This window comes from Homo sapiens, chromosome 3 (genome assembly GCF_000001405.40).
Source record: "Homo sapiens chromosome 3, GRCh38.p14 Primary Assembly".
Lineage (NCBI taxonomy): Eukaryota > Metazoa > Chordata > Mammalia > Primates > Hominidae > Homo > Homo sapiens.
Genome location: NC_000003.12, coordinates 127,032,294 through 127,049,327, shown reverse-complemented (window position 1 = coordinate 127,049,327; position 17,034 = coordinate 127,032,294). Strand labels below are relative to the sequence as shown.

At 55.6% G+C, this 17,034-nt stretch overlaps 1 protein-coding gene across 1 annotated transcript in view, besides 1 other annotated feature; it reads right to left on the bottom strand.

Annotated features, from left to right (window-relative positions):
- Positions 4,531-5,174: an enhancer, noted in NCBI's record as "H3K27ac-H3K4me1 hESC enhancer chr3:126762997-126763640 (GRCh37/hg19 assembly coordinates)". NCBI's record gives its function as "activates a minimal SCP1, AML or CMV promoter by ChIP-STARR-seq in naive H9 embryonic stem cells {active_cell/tissue: H9 hESC(naive)}" and the evidence as "EXISTENCE:reporter gene assay evidence [ECO:0000049][PMID:30033119]".
- Positions 11,939-17,034, bottom strand: part of PLXNA1 (plexin A1) — a 54,275-nt gene continuing 49,179 nt past the window's right edge. Inside the window, exons 30-32 of the mRNA NM_032242.4 lie at positions 16,729-16,941; positions 16,492-16,642; positions 11,939-15,406 (exon numbers count right to left, since the gene is read on the bottom strand). Coding sequence (NP_115618.3) covers positions 15,311-15,406; positions 16,492-16,642; positions 16,729-16,941 — 460 coding nt within the window. The 3' untranslated portion in view covers positions 11,939-15,310. The remainder of the gene's footprint in view (positions 15,407-16,491; positions 16,643-16,728; positions 16,942-17,034) is intronic.

Below are 17,034 nucleotides of genomic sequence, written 5' to 3'. Positions count from 1 at the left end.
TCCCTTCAGCTCTTCCTGTCTTCCCTGGGTACTGCCCTGCCTGCGGCTCCACTCTCCCTCTCTTGGATCCCACACCCCACCACTGAAACTAACTTCAGATTTATCATTCTCTTATTAGAAGCAGTGCATTGAAAGGGCACCATTAAAAAAGTGAAAAAATTCACATAATGTGTGAAAAATTTTGCAAATCATACATCTGATAATGGATTGGTATTTAGAATACATATAGGACTATTATAATTCAATAATAAAGAGACAAATAATCAAATTTAAAAGTGGGAAAGGGACTTGAGTAGACATTTCTCCAAAGAAGATATACAAGTGGCCACAAAGAACATGAAATGATGCTCAAAATTCCTAGCCCTCGGGGAAATGCAAATCAAAGCTGCAGCAGGGTCCCCTCACACCTGCTAGGATGGCTAGAATAAAAAACCCATAAGAACAAATGCTGACAAGGAAGCAGAGAAACTGGGACCCTCATTGATTCCATACATGGTGGAATGTAAAATGGCACAGATGCTTTGGAAAATAGACTGGCAGCTCCTTAGATGATTAAATATGGAGTGACCATGTGACCCAGAAATTCCACTCCTAGCTCTTTACAACAGAGAAATGAATGTTCACCCCAAAATTGTACCTGAATATTCACAGCAGCATTATTCAGTTTAGCAAAAAAGTGGAAATAGCCCAAATGCCTATCAATTGCCAAGTGGATAAACAGTATGTGGTGCACCCTACAGTGGAGTATTATTCAGCCATACAAAGGGAAATACTTACACATACCGCAACCCGGGTGAACCTTGGAAACATGCTCAGTGAGAGAAGCCAGTCGGAAAGAACTACTAATTTATGATTCCACTTATATGAAACATCCAGAATGGGCAAATCTGCAGACACAGAATGCAGAACACTGGTTGTCAGGGGCTGGGGGATATGGAGGAAAGGGGACATACATGGTTTTTCTTTGGGGTAATGAAAATGTCCTGGAATTGAATAGCTGTGATGGTTGCACAACTCTGTGAAGATAGAAAAAGCCATTGAGTTACACACCTAAGTGGATGGAATTGGGTGTTATGTGAATTCTGAGTAAAACTGTTGAGAACAAAAAGCAAAGCATGGCCTGGCACGGCGGCTCACACCTGTAATCCCAGCACTTTGGGAGGCCAAGGCCAGCGGATCATCTGAGGTCGGGAGTTTGACACCAGTCAGAACCAGCATGGAGAAACCTTGTCTCTACTAAAAATACAAAATTAGCCGGGCGTGGTGGTGCATGCCTGTAATCTCAGTGTGTCCAGAATTGGTGGGTTCTTGGTCTCACTGACTTCAAGAACGAAGCCGCGGACCCTCACGGTGAGTGTTACAGCTCTTAAGGTGGCACATCTGGAGTCTGTCCCTTCTGATGTTCAGATGTGTTCGGAGTTTCTTCCTTCTGGTGGGTTCGTGGTCTCGCTGGCTCAGGAGTGAAGCTGCAGACCTTTGCGGTGAGTGTTACAGCTCTTAAGGCAGCACGTCTGGAGTTGTTCGTTCCTCCCGGTGGCCTCGTGGTCTTGCTGGGCTCAGGAGTGAAGCTGCAGATCTTCACGGTGAGTGTTACAGCTCATAAAAGCAGCGTGGACCCAAAGAGTGAGCAGTAGCAAGATTTATTGCAAAGAGCAAAAGAACAAAGCTTCCACAGCGTGGAAAGGGACCTGAGCAGGTTACCAATGCTGGCTCCGGCAGCCTGCTTTTATTCTCTTATCTGGCCCCACCCACGTCCTGCTGATTGGTAGAGCCGAGTGGCCTGTTTTGTTAGGGCGCTGATTGGTGCATTTACAATCCCTGAGCTAGATACAAAGGTTCTCCACGTCCCCATCAGATTAGTTAGATACAGAGTTTCGACACACAGGTTCTCCAAGGCCCCACCAGAGCAGCTAGATACAGTGTCAATTGGTGCATTCACAAACCTTGAGCTAAACACAGGGTGCTGATTGGTGTGTTTACAAACCTTGAGCTAGATACAGAGTGCCGATTGGTGTATTTACAATCCTTGAGCTAGACATAAAGGTTCTCCACGTCCTCACCAGAGCAGCTAGATACAGAGTGTCGATTGGTGCACTCACAAACCTTGAGCTAAACACAGGGTGCTGATTGGTGTATTTACAATCCCTGAGCTAGACATAAAGGTTCTCCAAGGCCCCACCAGACTCAGGAGCCCAGCTGGCTTCACCTAGTGGATCCCGCACCGGGGCTGCAGGTGGAGCTGCCTGCCAATCCCGTGCCGTGCGCTCGCATTCCTCAGCCCTTGGGTGGTCGATGGGACTAGGCACCGTGGAGCAGGGGGTGGTGCTCTTCGGGGAGGCTCGGGCTGCACAGGAGCCCATGGAGTGGGTGGGAGGCTCAGGCATGGCGGGCTGCAGGTCCCGAGCCCCGCCCCGCAGGAAGGCAGCTAAGGCGCGGCGAGAAATTGAGCACAGCGCCTGTGGGCTGGCACTGCTGGGGGACCCAGTACCCCCTCCGCAGCCACTGGCCCGGGTGCTAAGTCCCTCATTGCCCAGGGCCAGCAGGGCTGGCCGGCTGCTCCGAGTGCGGGGCCCGCCAAGCCCATGCCCACCCGGAACTCCAGCTGGCCCGCAAGCGTCGCACGCAGCCCCGGTTCCCACTCGCGCCTCTCTCTCCACACCTCCCTGCAAGCTGAGGGAGTGGGCTCCAGCCTTGGCCAGCCCAGAAAGGGGCTCCCACAGTGCAGTGGTGGGCTGAAGGGCTCCTCAAGTGCCGCCAAAGTGGGAGTCCAGGCAGAGGAGGTGCCAAGGGCAAGCGAGGGCTCTGAGGACTGCCAGCATGCTGTCACCTCTCACCAGCTACTCTGGAGGCTGAGGCAGGAGAATCCCTTGAACCCAGGAGGCGGAGGTTGCAGTAAGCTGAGATCATACCGTAACTGCACTCCAACCTGGGCAACAGAGCCAGACTCTGTCTCAAAAAATAATAATAATAATAATAAAGAAAAAAAAGAAAAAACAAAAAGGCAAAGCATTTCTTCTCTTCCTCGGTTCTAACCCCAAACTTGCATATGAGATCCATTATCTACTCAGAAAGCCAAGCCCCACTCTGCTTCACAGAAATCATTCTCTTTAGAAGCAGCTGACAACCCCCTCCCCACACAAAATTACAACGTATATTCTTTCATACCCAGAAAATGGGCCTAGCCCTGCCCTGTCCAATGGAAATACAACATGAACCAGGAGCTTAATTTTAAATTTTCTAGTGGCCATATTTTAGAAAGCAAAATAAATAGGTAAAATTAATACCATAGTTTATTTAATCCAATATCTCCAAAACATTATAATTTCAAAATGTGACCCATTTAAAATGTTTAATATTTTACATCTGATGTGTGTTTTGCACACACAGGACATCTCAATTCAGACGAAGCACATTTGAAGTGCTCAACAGCCACAGCAGAGAGCTGCCCTCTGTAAGTCCCAAGTGACAGACTGGCTTAGGCAAAGGGAGAAATGGGACTTGGCAAACGTAACTGAATGCCCCGACAGTTCTAGTCTTTAGACACCACGGATCCAGAAGTTTAAACTTTCTCTCTCTCTTTCCCTTCCCCTCTCTTCCTCTCTACCCACCCTCTCTCTCTGCCTCTGTCCTTTCCTCCCTCCCTCTCCCTCTCCTCCTTTCTCTCTCATTCTCTTTCCTTCCCTCTCCCTCTCTCTCTCTCTCCCCTTTCCCCTTCCCTCCCTCTTCCTCTCTCTCCCTCCTTCCCTCCCTCCTCCCTTTCTCTCCTTCCCTCCCTCCCTCTCTCCCTTTCTCTCCTTCCCTCCCTCCCTCTCTCCCTTTCTGTCCTTCCCTCCCTTTCCTTTCTCCTTCCCTTTCTCCCTCCCCATCGCTCTCTCCTCCTCTGCCTCTTTTTCTCCTTCTCTCTTCCCTTCGCTCCCTCCCTCTCTCCCCATCTCTCGGTTCTGAATTCCTCTGAATTATCTTCTCTCCTCGGCTCATGGAGTGGCCTCCAGCAGTTCTTGGTTTACCAACTCCCCCCTATGTAAAGGAGGAATCTCTTTTTCAGGGGAAGAAAATGTCCCTATGGAGTGGCATGCTGAGCCCTGACTGGAGGAAGGGATCTTCTGATTGGCCAATCGGGCCCCATGTGTCTGCTGGGGGTGTGACTTGCTCGCTGCTGGCAGGGCAGGAGGAGCAGTGTCCCCCACCCTCCACCTGCACCTGAGCCAGGACTCTCTAGGGCTGAGAATGTACACAGCTCTGCTCAGGCATTTTGTTAATGGAGCTTCTTAATTGTATGTAACTTACCTAATTTTGCTCCCAAGCTTCTGTCCTACTGGGAAGCAGGAACAACATTCCAAACTTTGAAAATAGCTTAATCTGGCCGGGCGCGGTGGCTCACGCCTGTAATCCCAGCACTTTGGGAGGCCGAGGCGGGCGGATCACGAGGTCAGGAGATCGAGACCATCCCGGCTAAAACGGTGAAACCCCGTCTCTACTAAAAATACAAAAAAATTAGCCGGGCGTAGTGGCGGGCGCCTGTAGTCCCAGCTACTTGGGAGGCTGAGGAAGGAGAATGGCGTGAACCCGGGAGGCGGAGCTTGCAGTGAGCCGAGATCCCGCCACTGCACTCCAGCCTGGGTGACAGAGCGAGACTCCGTCTCAAAAAAAAAAAAGAAAATAGCTTAATCTAGTGCTATTTAAATGATCTCTCTTGTTTTCATAGTCTCTTGTGGGAAAATGGTAAGTTCTGGTCTCTGTTAAACTTCCTATCAGGATCTTTCTCCCTTTTCTTCCTTCTTCCCAAGATGACACTGGGGGCTAATGCAAAGCTCCCAGGTCTTCTTGGCAGTAGGGAAGGGGAGGTCAGCTCTGTGGGCCTGCTGTGGGAGTGCCTTAGCACACTCAGGGCCACCATGTACAGCTGTGTGGGTTGTGCACTGCACAACTCCATGGGATGACATCAGCATAGACTAGAGTGTATTTGGTACTCCCTGGAGTTGTCTCTCCCCTCTGCTTCTCAGCCCTGAATGCCCCTGGCTTCTAGATGTGTGCTGGCTCTGCAGCCCCGCCCAGCAGCCTGCTCCTGACTCCAGGCCCTGCTGTACTGGCAGGCTTCTCAGCACTTCTCTACCCCTTGAGGAGCCATAGGCAATTTCTGGGTCACTAACCCCTCCACAGGAGACAAGGGGTGCTGTCTCTTAGGGGAGAAAGCAGGCCTCTCCTTCACACCCACCTTTCTCAGTCCCATCAGGAGAGCCGGGGCCTCCCTCACCATGACTCTTGACCCTGCCAGATGTAGAGGGTTAACTGAGTTTCTTCCCATCAAAGCTTTGCTTTTGACAGATGAGGCAGCAGAAGGGTTGGGCGACCCCCATTCCCTCTGTCGCAATGGCCTGTGGCCAGGAGGAATGAGGGCTTCTTTGTCCCAGGTGGCATCCACCCTCCAGGAAACATGGGTTTAGAGGGCACGAAATCATCACACAGTTCCACCCCACCCTGCAGGGGAGGGCACTGGCCATTATAATTGTTCCTTCATTTTACAGTGGAGAAACTGAGGCTGAGAAAGAGACAGAGACTTGCTCCGAATCACAGGAGGCACAGGCCGCAAGACAAGGATCCCTGGCCAGGCCTGCTCCTTCTGTTCTCATGGACTGATCATTTAAAAAGGAATTTGCGTCTTGAAAACTACTTTTTAAGGAATTTGTTTCACTAAGAGACAAGAGGACTTCTGGCTCTCTTTCTTGGACTTAAAACTGTTTTTGCACCCTCCCTCCAGCCTTTCAGGCTGGCAAATGCGCAAAGAATGACAGGAATGTCGCACACCTGCGGGTGCCAAGTTGTCTGAGAAACCAGGCCCAGAGGAGGTGAGCCCCACTCAGAGCCCCACTGGGAGGGGTGGAAGCCACTGGGCAGGCTCAGCCACGTGGAACAAAGGAGAAAAAGTGCCGGGGAGTGCATGGCAGGGGAAAGCGAATGCACAGGGCAGGCTGGGCCCAGCTCCGCTCACACCAGGCAGCGTCTGGGTGGTTGGTGAGAGCCTCAGGTAGGACCCCCCACCGCAGGCAGCATCTGGGGGAAGGAAAGCTGATCTGCAGAGGGAAATGCGTCAGGGTTCTCAGTAGCTGTAGATAGACAGACAGGTGATCGTTCTGAGTTGGCCTGTGGTTTCATGGAGGGTAAGTCCCGGGGCCTGCAGGGCGAGCGTGAGTGGAGCCAGGAGGCTGGCCGGCTTGGGACTCAGGAAGAGTCCATGTTTCAGTTCGAGTCTGACCCGTGTCTCAGCCCAAAAGCTGTCAGGCAGAAGAAATTCTCTTCCTCTGAGGAGGGTCAAGCTTTTGTTCTCTCCAGGCCCTCACCTGATGTAGGAGGCGCACCTGCCCTGGGGAGGGCGGTCTGGTTCACTCAGTCTCCACCCAAACGCTCATCGCATCCAGAAACGTCCTCAGAAGCACTAGGACAAGGCCTGGCCACGTATCTGGGCACCCGAGGCCCAGGCAAGTTGACACATCCAGTCACCAACACAGGGCACCCCAAAGGGATGGCGCAGCCGGAAGCCATACTCACCCAGGCCAGAGGGGCAGGGGGAGGAGGGGCTGTCACCGGCACAGGCCAGCACAAAGGAGGATGCCCACCCCAAGGGAGGGCCAGGGGAGCCGAGAACGGCTCCTCTCTCCCACCCAACCTCACTCCAGGCAGCCAGTGGAGGGGGCTGGGAAGTGGACTTTGCAAGGTCACATGTCCGCAGAGAGAGAAGGGTAGACCAGAGAAAGACCCCTGAGCCGGCAGGTAGAATGTAGCCCAGAGATCCACGCACCAAGAACAGAGCCCCACCAGGGTCTTCAGCATCTCACTAGCATCTCGCCATTGATCAGAGGAAAGCCTTTACGTGAGCAACAGCTTTTTGCTAGAATTTAAGATTATTTTTACCTCTATTGTAGTTATTTGTATAGACCTCTTCTATTAGGAATGGTTCTGTCCCATTCACGGTAACCACTTAGTGCCATCAAGTTTTCCATTTGAATAATTTCTTCCGGTCGAAAGAGGAGAGTGTTTTCAGAGAAAAAGTCCAGGTAGACGGAAGACCTGGGTGCATGGAGTGAGAGATACCAAGGCGAGGGCAGGCCAAGGCTGTGCCCCAAACTCCTGATCAGCCTGACTTCACCAGGGCCTCCTGGCAGGTGTGGCAGGGAGCACTGCCTGCTGGGAGATTGAACCTGCAACCCAGCAAACAGGGATGGAGCCACTTGTCAAACACCACCCAAGCCCGCTGTGTCCAAGTCTTCAGACACATGACCTGGCTCTGCAATTAAAACGGCTGGAAAACAGAAGGGGAGGGCGTGGGATCCAAAGAGGAGAGACAGAAAACCAAGCGTAACAGGGGGCCTTGTCCAAATCCAAGCAACCCCTCTGTGAAAATTCAGGTTGGAGATAGTTAAGGACATTGGAATATGCAAACATTCATTTTGTTAGTGTGATAATGACACAGTGGTTATGTAAGGAGAAAATGTCTATCCATTAGAAAAAATACAAACAGTCTCATAAACAAAGGAAAGAGGTATTTGTCAAAGCTGGGCTTCAGGAACGTTCACCTGGGAGCAATGAGTTGTAAGGTGGAAACTGGAACCTGAGATTCTGAGCAGAGGCACAGATTCGGAGAGAGTTGGGGACATCCCTGGGCAGGGGCACAGCCGACAGGACCCGTGCTGTCTGGGATTCTGAACGTCCTGAGCTCCTTCTCCGTCCTGGCCCTGCCTGGGGTGGAGGCCATGGTGCTGATCCTGGAGTAGCCCTGCTGCCTGTGACTGCAGCCCAGCGAGGGACAGGCCTGCCATAGACAGCATGTGGCAGGTCACCCAGGCGGGGCTGCTTGGTGGGGCAGGAGCTTCTGCAGGGTTGGGAGGGTTCCATATGGAGGTGGCTTTGCCAAGATGGGGAGCCCGTGATGGGGCATGGCAGGGAGATGAGAGGCTCTGCCCTGGACATTGTGAGCAGCAGCCAGAGATGCCAGCGTCCCTAGGGCAGTGAGCAAGGAGAGGCCGGGGCTGCAGGGAGTCTGGGGCGCCAGCATCGCTGCAGCTGATGATGCGTGTCTCCTGCTTGAGGACAGTCTGTGGCATTCGCGTCCACACAGTGAAACTCAAACTCTTTTTTAAAAACTTTATTATTAATTTTAAATGTGGGAAAACACACGTAACATAAAATATAACATCTTAACTATTTGTAAGTGCGCAGCTCAGCGGCACTAGGAGCATTCCCATTGCTCTGCAGCTATCACCACCATCCGTCTTAGAACGTTCATCTTCTCCACTGAAGCTCTGTCCCCATCCAACTCTTAACTCCCATCTCTCCTCCTGCAGCCTCTGGCGCCCACCATTCTATCTTCATCTCTATGACTGTGACTACCTAGGGACCTCTAGGGACCTCACAAAAGTGGAATCATACAGTATTTGCCTTTTTGTGCTTGGCTTGTTTCAAGTTCACCCATGTCGTCGCATGCGTGAGAATTTCCTTCCTTTCAAAGGCTGAATGGGATTCCATTGTTTGGATGCACCACTTTTTGTCCATTCACCTGTCGATGGATGCTTGGGGTGCCTCCACCTTCTGGCTCTGTGAATAGTGCTGCTGTGAACGTGGGTGTGGAAGTGTCTCTGAGGCACTGCTCTCCATTCTTTTGTGTGTTCACCCAGAGGCGGGGTTGCTGGGTCACATGGTGATTCTATACTTAACTTTTCAGGAGCTGCCACACCTCGTCCACAGGAACTGTATGATTTTCCTTCCCCACCAGCAGTGGGGAGACCCTCCCCTCCACCTGCGCACTTCTCCACAATCTGCAAAACCCTGCTGTTCAAATGGACTAATCCCTCCTCTGGCATGTGGCCTGGGCCTACCAATCAGAGTACCTCATCCTTTAGGCCAGAATGACTGGTTCAAATAGCAAATCAAGACATTGCCCCAAACATTGGCCAATGAAATCCCTACCTGGATGTGCGTGATGACCAAGGGTGTCCTGTTTTCACCAGGACTGCTCAGCTGGTAGACCTAGAGCCTCTGGTGGTCATCGCTGCCCCCCACTTAGGAAGAGCTGGCCTGAGAATGAAGCCCTTACAGAGGACAGAGAAGGAGGACAGACTTCTCATGACCTCCAGGAGCCCCTGGATCCAGCCATGCCTGAGGTAGATGCACCCTTGGACTTTTTGATTTCAAGAGCCTGCTAGTTCCCTTTCTTGCTTCAGCCAGCTTAAGTTTCTATCATTTCTAATGCAGGGGGGCACCCAGCAGGGAACATGTGCTCAGGTGCTTCTCAGGGTGGTTTTAGCCGGATGCAGCAACGATGGCTGGAACGCCCATCTCTCAAACAGACCCCACGCTGGGCAGAGTGCGTGAGTCTCCCAGCCATGGGGGCAGACTCAAGGGGCTGACGGCATCTACAAGGCGGCTACAGGGGAAATGCTCCTGAGAACATGCTTTCCTCAAAGTTCCCGAGGCCCCAGGGCATTGCTCACTGCCAGCTGCTCACGCCCCTCTGCTCTGTGTCCAGACTCTGGGTATCAGGCCCTGGTGTTGTCCTCAAGGAGTCTCCAGCATGGAGACCACTAGAGGAGTGCTGCAGCATGAAGTAGAGAGTCTGAGTTTGAATCCTGGTCCCACCATGGGTAACGGTGTGTCCTTGAGGGTAGTGACTTTACCTCTCTGCTCCCAGGTTCTCCCCTCTACAATGGGGCTGGTCCTGGTACTGACTTGCAGCCCGGCAGCCTTGTATGCTGCAGAAACCACTCCCCAGCATCCGTGTCCCATTCCCCAAAGGTCTATGGTGCACCTGCCTATGTGCCCAGTGCAGGCTGGCTGGAGGCTCTGCTCCAGGACTAGAGGCTCAGCCTGGATATGACCCAAGTCACTTCCACCGACAACTCCATGACTGTTGTCCTCAGAAAGAACACATCTGCCCCCAAAGCTCCACCATCAGGGCTGATGGCTCTCCAGGAAGGCCCCAAAGGGGTGCCACGGGCCACGGGCCCTGGGGATACCTGCAGGAGCCTCTTGGTCTCCAGCCTCCTCTGGCCTTGTCCCGCGACTGCCAGACGCGCGAATCAGAGCCCACCCTCCTCGCTCCCCAAGGCACAGCACCTCCTGCACCTCCCTGCACAGAGCTGACCTGGCCTCTTCCATTGCTCTGGACACAGGGAATGCTCTCTCCGATGTCACCTCAGCTGGCTCCTTGTTTCTCAAGCCTCGATTCCTCCATCCCTCCTCAGGCCTTCCCTGCCCACTTGGCCAGGTGGGCACCCTCCCATGCCACCAGTTTTCTTCAGGGCAAGACACCATCTATAGTCACTGTATCAGGTTTTAGCCTGGCCTGTTACTTTTTATTTCTGCTCAGAGCCTGTGTTTGCTCTTGAGCTGTGGCTGCTCTGGGGTCCAGGTGGGAAGTCTGAAGTCACCTCTGGATCTGCTCTGGGTGGAGGGTGCCTCCATCCCACCCAGGCCCACAGGCTGGCCTCGCCCTTGCTCTGCAGCAAGCCCATCCAGGTGCCCTGCTCAGAGCCACCAGCATTAATAGCTGATGGTTTAATACCCTCAGGAGCCAGCGCACTCAAGCAGCAATCAGAAGGCCCCATCACCGCTGCTGTGTAATTGCGCCCGATCACTCGCACAGCGAGCGCTGATTGCGGCTCAGAGATGGCTCAGCTTCCAGGCTGATGGGCTGGAGCCCTTGGAGGCCTAATGAGGGTAATTGAGGATGGGCTGATTGTGCCGGAAAAAAGCTGAAGGGGACTGAGCCATGAGAACAGGCTGCGTCACACCCTAAACGGGACCACATTTGCTAAATTTGTTTCCGACACAATTTCGTGGTGATTACACTGATTTCTCTTGAGTTACTGAGCCTGGCACAGAGCTTGTGCTTGCAGCCCCACTGTCAAGATGCGCCTGTTTGAGAGTGGGAGGTATTGTTGATGACTTATGGGCCACTGTCAGCCCTGGGAACGAGTTCATGGAGAGGCTGGTGGGAGACAGGTGGGAGCTTGGGGGCGGTGGGGAGGGCCTGGGGTCCCAAGGGCCTACGTTTGGGCGGGCTGCTGCTTACCACCATGTGGCTGGGACACATTGTGCAACCTCTGTGTGCCTCAATTCCTCAGCTGCAGGTGCAGCTGCCCCTAACCTCCCAGGGTTGCCGGGAAGTCCCAGTGAGTTCACTTACAGGCAGTGCTCAGACGGTCCAGGTTGGGGTCTGCCTGGAGGCGCAGCTGCAGAGCAGGTGCCCAGGGCCCTTGGGGATGTGTCACACCTGACCCTGCACCCACCCTCTGCGGCAGGAGCAGCCACCCCTGTTGAGCCATGGATGAAATGAGCCCAGGGACGGGGCCACTGACCAAAGCCATGCACTGGCAGAAGCTGCATCCACACCTCCATCATTAGTATCTGTACACATTTTCATGAGATGAAGCAGCATAGCCTGTCTCTGCTGGAAAGACCAACATTTCTCAAACCCGGTTCCTTGGCTGCGAGTCTGGGAAACACAATTCCAGCCTTGGCTACTGAAGGCAGGGGGCCCAGGACTGCAGCCTCAGCTCCCCCAGGCTGTCGCTCATGGGCCCCTCGGGGTCAGAATCTGATTTTAGTTAACAAGGCACCCAGGAATTCCTGCCTCACGGCATGGGCTGGAAGCCACTGCTCTGAGCTAGGGGTCACGGGAGAATCGCCTGGGAAGCATCTAAAAGTGACCACCGCTCAGACCCCTGAAGCTCCAAGGCTCCAGTGGGGGTCAGGCACTGGTGTTTTAGTCTCCGCCAAGGGCTCCAATGTGTCACCTGGGCTGAGCGCACCCAACTCACAGAGTGTGGCCATCTGTCCTGGGTGTGGCTGAGTCTCCCAGGGAGATATGCTTCCGTGTTTGGGATGTGGCTGCACTCCTGCGGCCGCCCCTGCTTCCCAGCAAGGAAAACCTGGAGCCAAGAGCTTTTAGCAAAAATGTTTAATCTCTCCTTAATGTGTGTGTTTATTTACAAGTACTAAATCTGAAGAACAGTAAAATAGGAAATAGCCGTATATGTACACATCTGAGGGCCGGGCCCACAGTCAGCGGTGCTGCTTCTGCAAAGAGCCCGGCTGAGGGTGCCCGCCCGGACCGTCCGAGGGATCGCTCTTCTTCTGGGAGGGGGTTCTGCGGTGTTAAAGGACAGCTAATTGTGGGCTTTGTCTTAAAAATATCTCTCTCTCTAAATATATCTATTCTAGCTGTGTAGCACCAACGTGAGCCACTGAATCCAGACAGGGAGAAAGCCAGGGCGGAGGCTCTCAGCAAGGCCGAGCCGAGATGGCACGCCGCTCCGGGCTCTCTCCCGGACTCGACGCTGCAGGTCGTGGGGCCCCCAGCCCCTCAGGCCAAGGGGCCAGTGGTCCTGGGGCTGGGGAGCACAGGGGAAGCTCGAGGTATATCAAGAGGCCAGGCTCCCAGGCCGAGGCGTGAGCTTTTCCAGCACTCCTGAGCCAGGCGCGGGGAGAGGGAGGACACGGAGCAGGGTAGGAGGTGCTGCAGGAAGCAAGTGGCGGCAGCAGCACGCCAGGTGGGTGCCAGTTTCACAGCACATGTGCCGCAGCCCTGGCTCCCTGCAGACACAGGGCCCATGGGAGCCGCTCACCGCTGCTGGGCACAGAACGGCCTCCAACTGCAGCTCCTACCAGGGCCTCCAGCCCCAGGCCAGAGCTCCCAGGTGCTGCACAGTTAGGAGCACAGTGGGAACCAGTGACAAGTAGGGACTGGGGCCTAACTCCACGACCTGGCAGAGGGAGGTACGGAGTAGCTCGGAGACTGCTGTCCCAGTAGACAGCACAGGTAGTCGGCTTGATCCTTGCGCATGTAAACAGATACTGCTAAAGTGCTTGCGCCTAGACACAGCCATGTGCTCTGTGGTGGCCACGCCCCAGCCACACGCCCATGTGGGAACTGCTTCATGAGGCCTGTGGTGCACCCCCTTCATCACCACTGCCGTCCCCACCACCCGCCCATGCTACTCACATGGACAAGGGCAGCCTGGCAGGGCAGAGCAGAGCACAAGGCCTAAGGAGAGTGGGGGTTGGAACTGGATTCTGAAGGTGATGCAGGAGCCCCTACCTAACCCGTGAGGAACTGGAAGAACCAGGGACTTCAACCTGAAGCCAGCATCCAGGGAAGACTTTGGGGGAAACTGAGGTTCCCACCCCACCATAGCCAGGAAACATCAGAAGGGAGGTGGAGGCGCACCCAGGAACAGGAATCCCAGCCAATGCTAGGGGCTACTGAAAAAAACAGCCCAGCCACTGTAATATGGACTGGCCTCAGCTCTGGCCCCCAAGACTGCCCAGGGAGTAAGCCCACCCCCTCAGTGGGCTGGGGGCAGGGGCTGGCCCAGGCCTGAGCTGGGTGTGGCAGCAGCAGAAGGCCCCAGCCCTGGCACAGTGCCCACGGGGCCAAGGAGCTCCCTGAGTCAGCAGTCACTGACTCCACACCGACCCGCGTTCAGGGAAGAGGCGGGTCTCTGTGGCGTCATCTGGCTCACGCTACTCAGCTGGGGCGGACTGCAAGACTGGCACACCCCATGGGGCCGAGTCCTCTCCTTGGGCCTGGCCAAGGACATGGGGCTGAGTCTGGCCACAGTTAGCTGTCCCTTAATGTCCATGGGATCTTCGGTACCATCAAAAAAGTGACCTTGAAAAGGGGATGGACCGCTTGTTTGCTTTTACAAGTGACTGATTAATTAAAAAACATAAAAAAGGGTCTAACAACCTCTAGTATTCAACACTTGCAGTTTTAAAAAGATCAACTCAGACTAAACGCTAGCACAATCATGCATGCCCCGTGGTGCCGCGGCACCCCAGAGGCTCTCAGGGTCAGCAGGAAGTCCTTTCCTTGTCATGTCAAACCAAAACAGCGGCCCGCAGGTCGGGGGGCACAGGCTTCAGGGCTGCTCCACTCCAGGGAGGCTCCGGCCACTTTCTCCACAACCATTTGGCATTGCTTTCCCACTGCCTTCATTTTCTTGTTCAAATCGTCTTTAAAATTCTTCTTCAGTTAACTGTACAGTACCCCACTGGGGCTGGAGCCTGAGGCTAGAGCCACATATATATATATGCATATATATACATGTACAGCTTTCTTTTAAGAATGCATTCTCTCTTGCTGAGGGCAAGGGTGGACACCGCTGGCCTCCAGTCCCTCTGGTCACTGCCCGTCACTCATGGCCCAGATAGATCCAGGCCACTGCGGGCCAGAGGAGCCCTGCCACAGACCTCAAGGCCCAAGCAGAGTGCAGCAGAATTTTTTCCCCTAAACACAAAAACAGTCCCCAGATGTCCCACTGCTCTGGAGGGGCCAGGACACTGCTGAGATGCCACACTGGAAGCCGCTGGGGCAGGGACAGAGAGAGTGGAGAGAGAGGAGTGCTCAGGGGCCGCCCTCAGGGGCTCCAGGGTGGGGAGCTCAGCCTACCCTTGAAGACAGCTGCCAGGGCAGCCTGTGTAGGACGCGGAGGGGAATAAATAACGGGAACGTGCTCTCTGCGACCCGGGGCCCCTGGCCCAGTGGCTCCCAGAGGCACAGCCCTGAGGACGGAGAGGGGCTGCCCGGTCCGTCTGGAAGCCACCCAGGAGTCTGAGCAGCCTGGCCCACAGCCCCTCCATAGGAGGGAGCAGAGCCTCTCTGGGGCGAGGTGGATGTGGTGCTCCGGCCTCGGCCGCGCAGAGCACGCGGTGAATCTGAGGATGGCAGCGGTGCAGCGGGCATGGGTGCTGGAGGTGGGAGTCGGTGGCAACGGGCCCAGACCGACTTGAGCTCCTCTTGCCCGGCTACGGGCTTTTTGCCTCTTTCTCCAGCTGCCAACCGGGCCCCGGGACCCTCAGACTCTGCCGCCTGGGGGCAGCTTGGAAAGCTGGGAATGCTGACACCCCCAGCCTCTTGTCCTGGTCTCAAGGGGACAGCCCAAGCTGGCTACCCCTCCCCCTGGAGGGCCCTGGCCTCACCCCTCAGCCCCTCAGAGGTCAGCCCTTCTCCCATGAAGGCCACTGGGCAGCTCTTGCCAGGCAATGAAGGTCCTTGGCCAGCCTGAGCACCCAGTGCTGTCCCGGCCCCTGAGCAAGCAGCTGTGTGCGCAGCTGTGGTGTGGCAGGTACCATCACCTCCACACAGGAAGAGCCGGGACCCGACCGGGTGAGGCAGGGGAGGGAGGGCCGGGCAGTCGCTGCACTGCGGCGGCCCGAGCACCACCGGACACTCCACACGCATGCGGTGAGGGCTGTCCCGGTCCCTGCTCAGCTGTCCTCACGCTGCATCATGCTGGATGATCACAGCTGGGGCTCAGCTGCTCAGGGCCATCGTGTCCACCACCTGCTCCAGCTTGCTCCGCAGCCGCTGCCGCCGCGCCTGCTCATCCTTCTCCAGGGCTGCCAGGATCTGCAGGGCCAGGAGAACTGTCAGCATGCCGGGCCACCAGCCTCCATGCACTCAGCAGGCCCAGGGCAGATGCCTCCAGAGTAGGTGCCAGAGGTTCAACCCCATCTACCCCTGGCCAAAGGACCTTGGTTGTGAGCCTGGACCCTCCAGGACCCCAATATGGAGAATGAGCCCTGCCCCTGTCATCATCCTACTCTCACCCCCTAAAACAGCAGGCTCTGATCCCTTGGCTGCCTGGCCATGCTGCTGACATGTCCCCACCCAGTCCTCACACCCTGGGGTTTCTGTGCCCCTTTAAAGCAGAGCTCCCCAGAGAGCCTCAGCTCCCCTTTCCCTGGTGAGCCCCAGGACCCCAGGCTTTTGTCCCCACTCCCCACCCTAATACATGCAGTCTCTGGCTGCTCCTCTGCTCCCCTGGGGCACCTGCCTGAGGACAGCCCTCTGCCTCCTGTCTGCCTCCTGTGGCACCCTGGGGAAGGTTCCTTGCCTCTGCTGCACCTGCCCTGGCCTCCCCAGGGTGGCTCTGGTTCACTCCCGTGGCCTTCTTAGCCCTCAGAGCCTTGGCACAGGCCGAGACTGTCCTGCCCTCTGGCCCCGTGCTCCCATCCTGTGCGGCCCAGGAGCCAGTTCTCCTTCCTGGATACCTCCTGGACCCCGTCCCCAGGTCCATGTACGTGGCCTCACTCCAAGTCAGCAGAAAAGATACTGAAAGGAAAGCTCTGCCAAGAGCCTATGCCCAGCCCTGGAGATGCTGGCCCAGACTAGAAAACCCTGAAATGAGCCCCTCAGGGAAGTTGCTCACCACCCACACACCCTCTGCCTCAGGAAGAAGCTGCCATCCCATCTTCCCCACCCCTGACCCCACATGGCTGCACACAGTGACTCCACCACGGCCTTCTCTGCTCGGCCTGGCAGGCTCCCTCCTGGCCCCAAGGAACCAGGTGGCCAGAGGGTGCAGAGGAGTGAAGGTGGTCAGTGGCAGCCCAGAGATTCAGGGAGGAGTGGCAGGGCGGGGCAGAGCAGGTGACTCTGGCAGGGGCCGGCAAGCCCTCCTAGCCCAGCCTGTGGGCTCCCACGGTGTTCACCTCATCCTTGTACTTGGTGATGTAGGAGTAGATCTCGTGCAAGGCGCTCATGCTGTTGAACTGGCTCAGGTGCAGGCGGGACTGCTCAGCCAGATACGCACTCATGTCCTGGTCGCTGATGGCTGGCATCTTGGCGATGTCTGCATAGTACCTGCAGGTGAGTGGCCAGGTGGGCACATGAGCAGAGTCCAGGCTGCCCCCGGGCCCCTGCCCCCGACCCCTGCACCCTCCACCTACCTCTCCACCCAGCTCTTGTAGTTGGGGATGTCCTTGGCGTAGAGCAGCTTGTTGGAGGGTGAGTCCTTGCCCAGCTTGTGCTCAGAGGTGGAGCAGGAGTCCATGAAGGTCTGGGCCACCACCGACAAGCAGGCGTCCGTGATGCTGTTCTTGTGAATGTCGAACACAAACTGTGGGTTCTTGATCACGTTCACCCAGAAGCGCAGGGGCAGGCTGCAGGCGAGAGTCCAGGCGCTGCTCAGATAGGCCTCTGCTCCCTCCTGAGCAGTGACCTTGTGGCCCTCCCAGCTCCGAATCCAAAGTGGG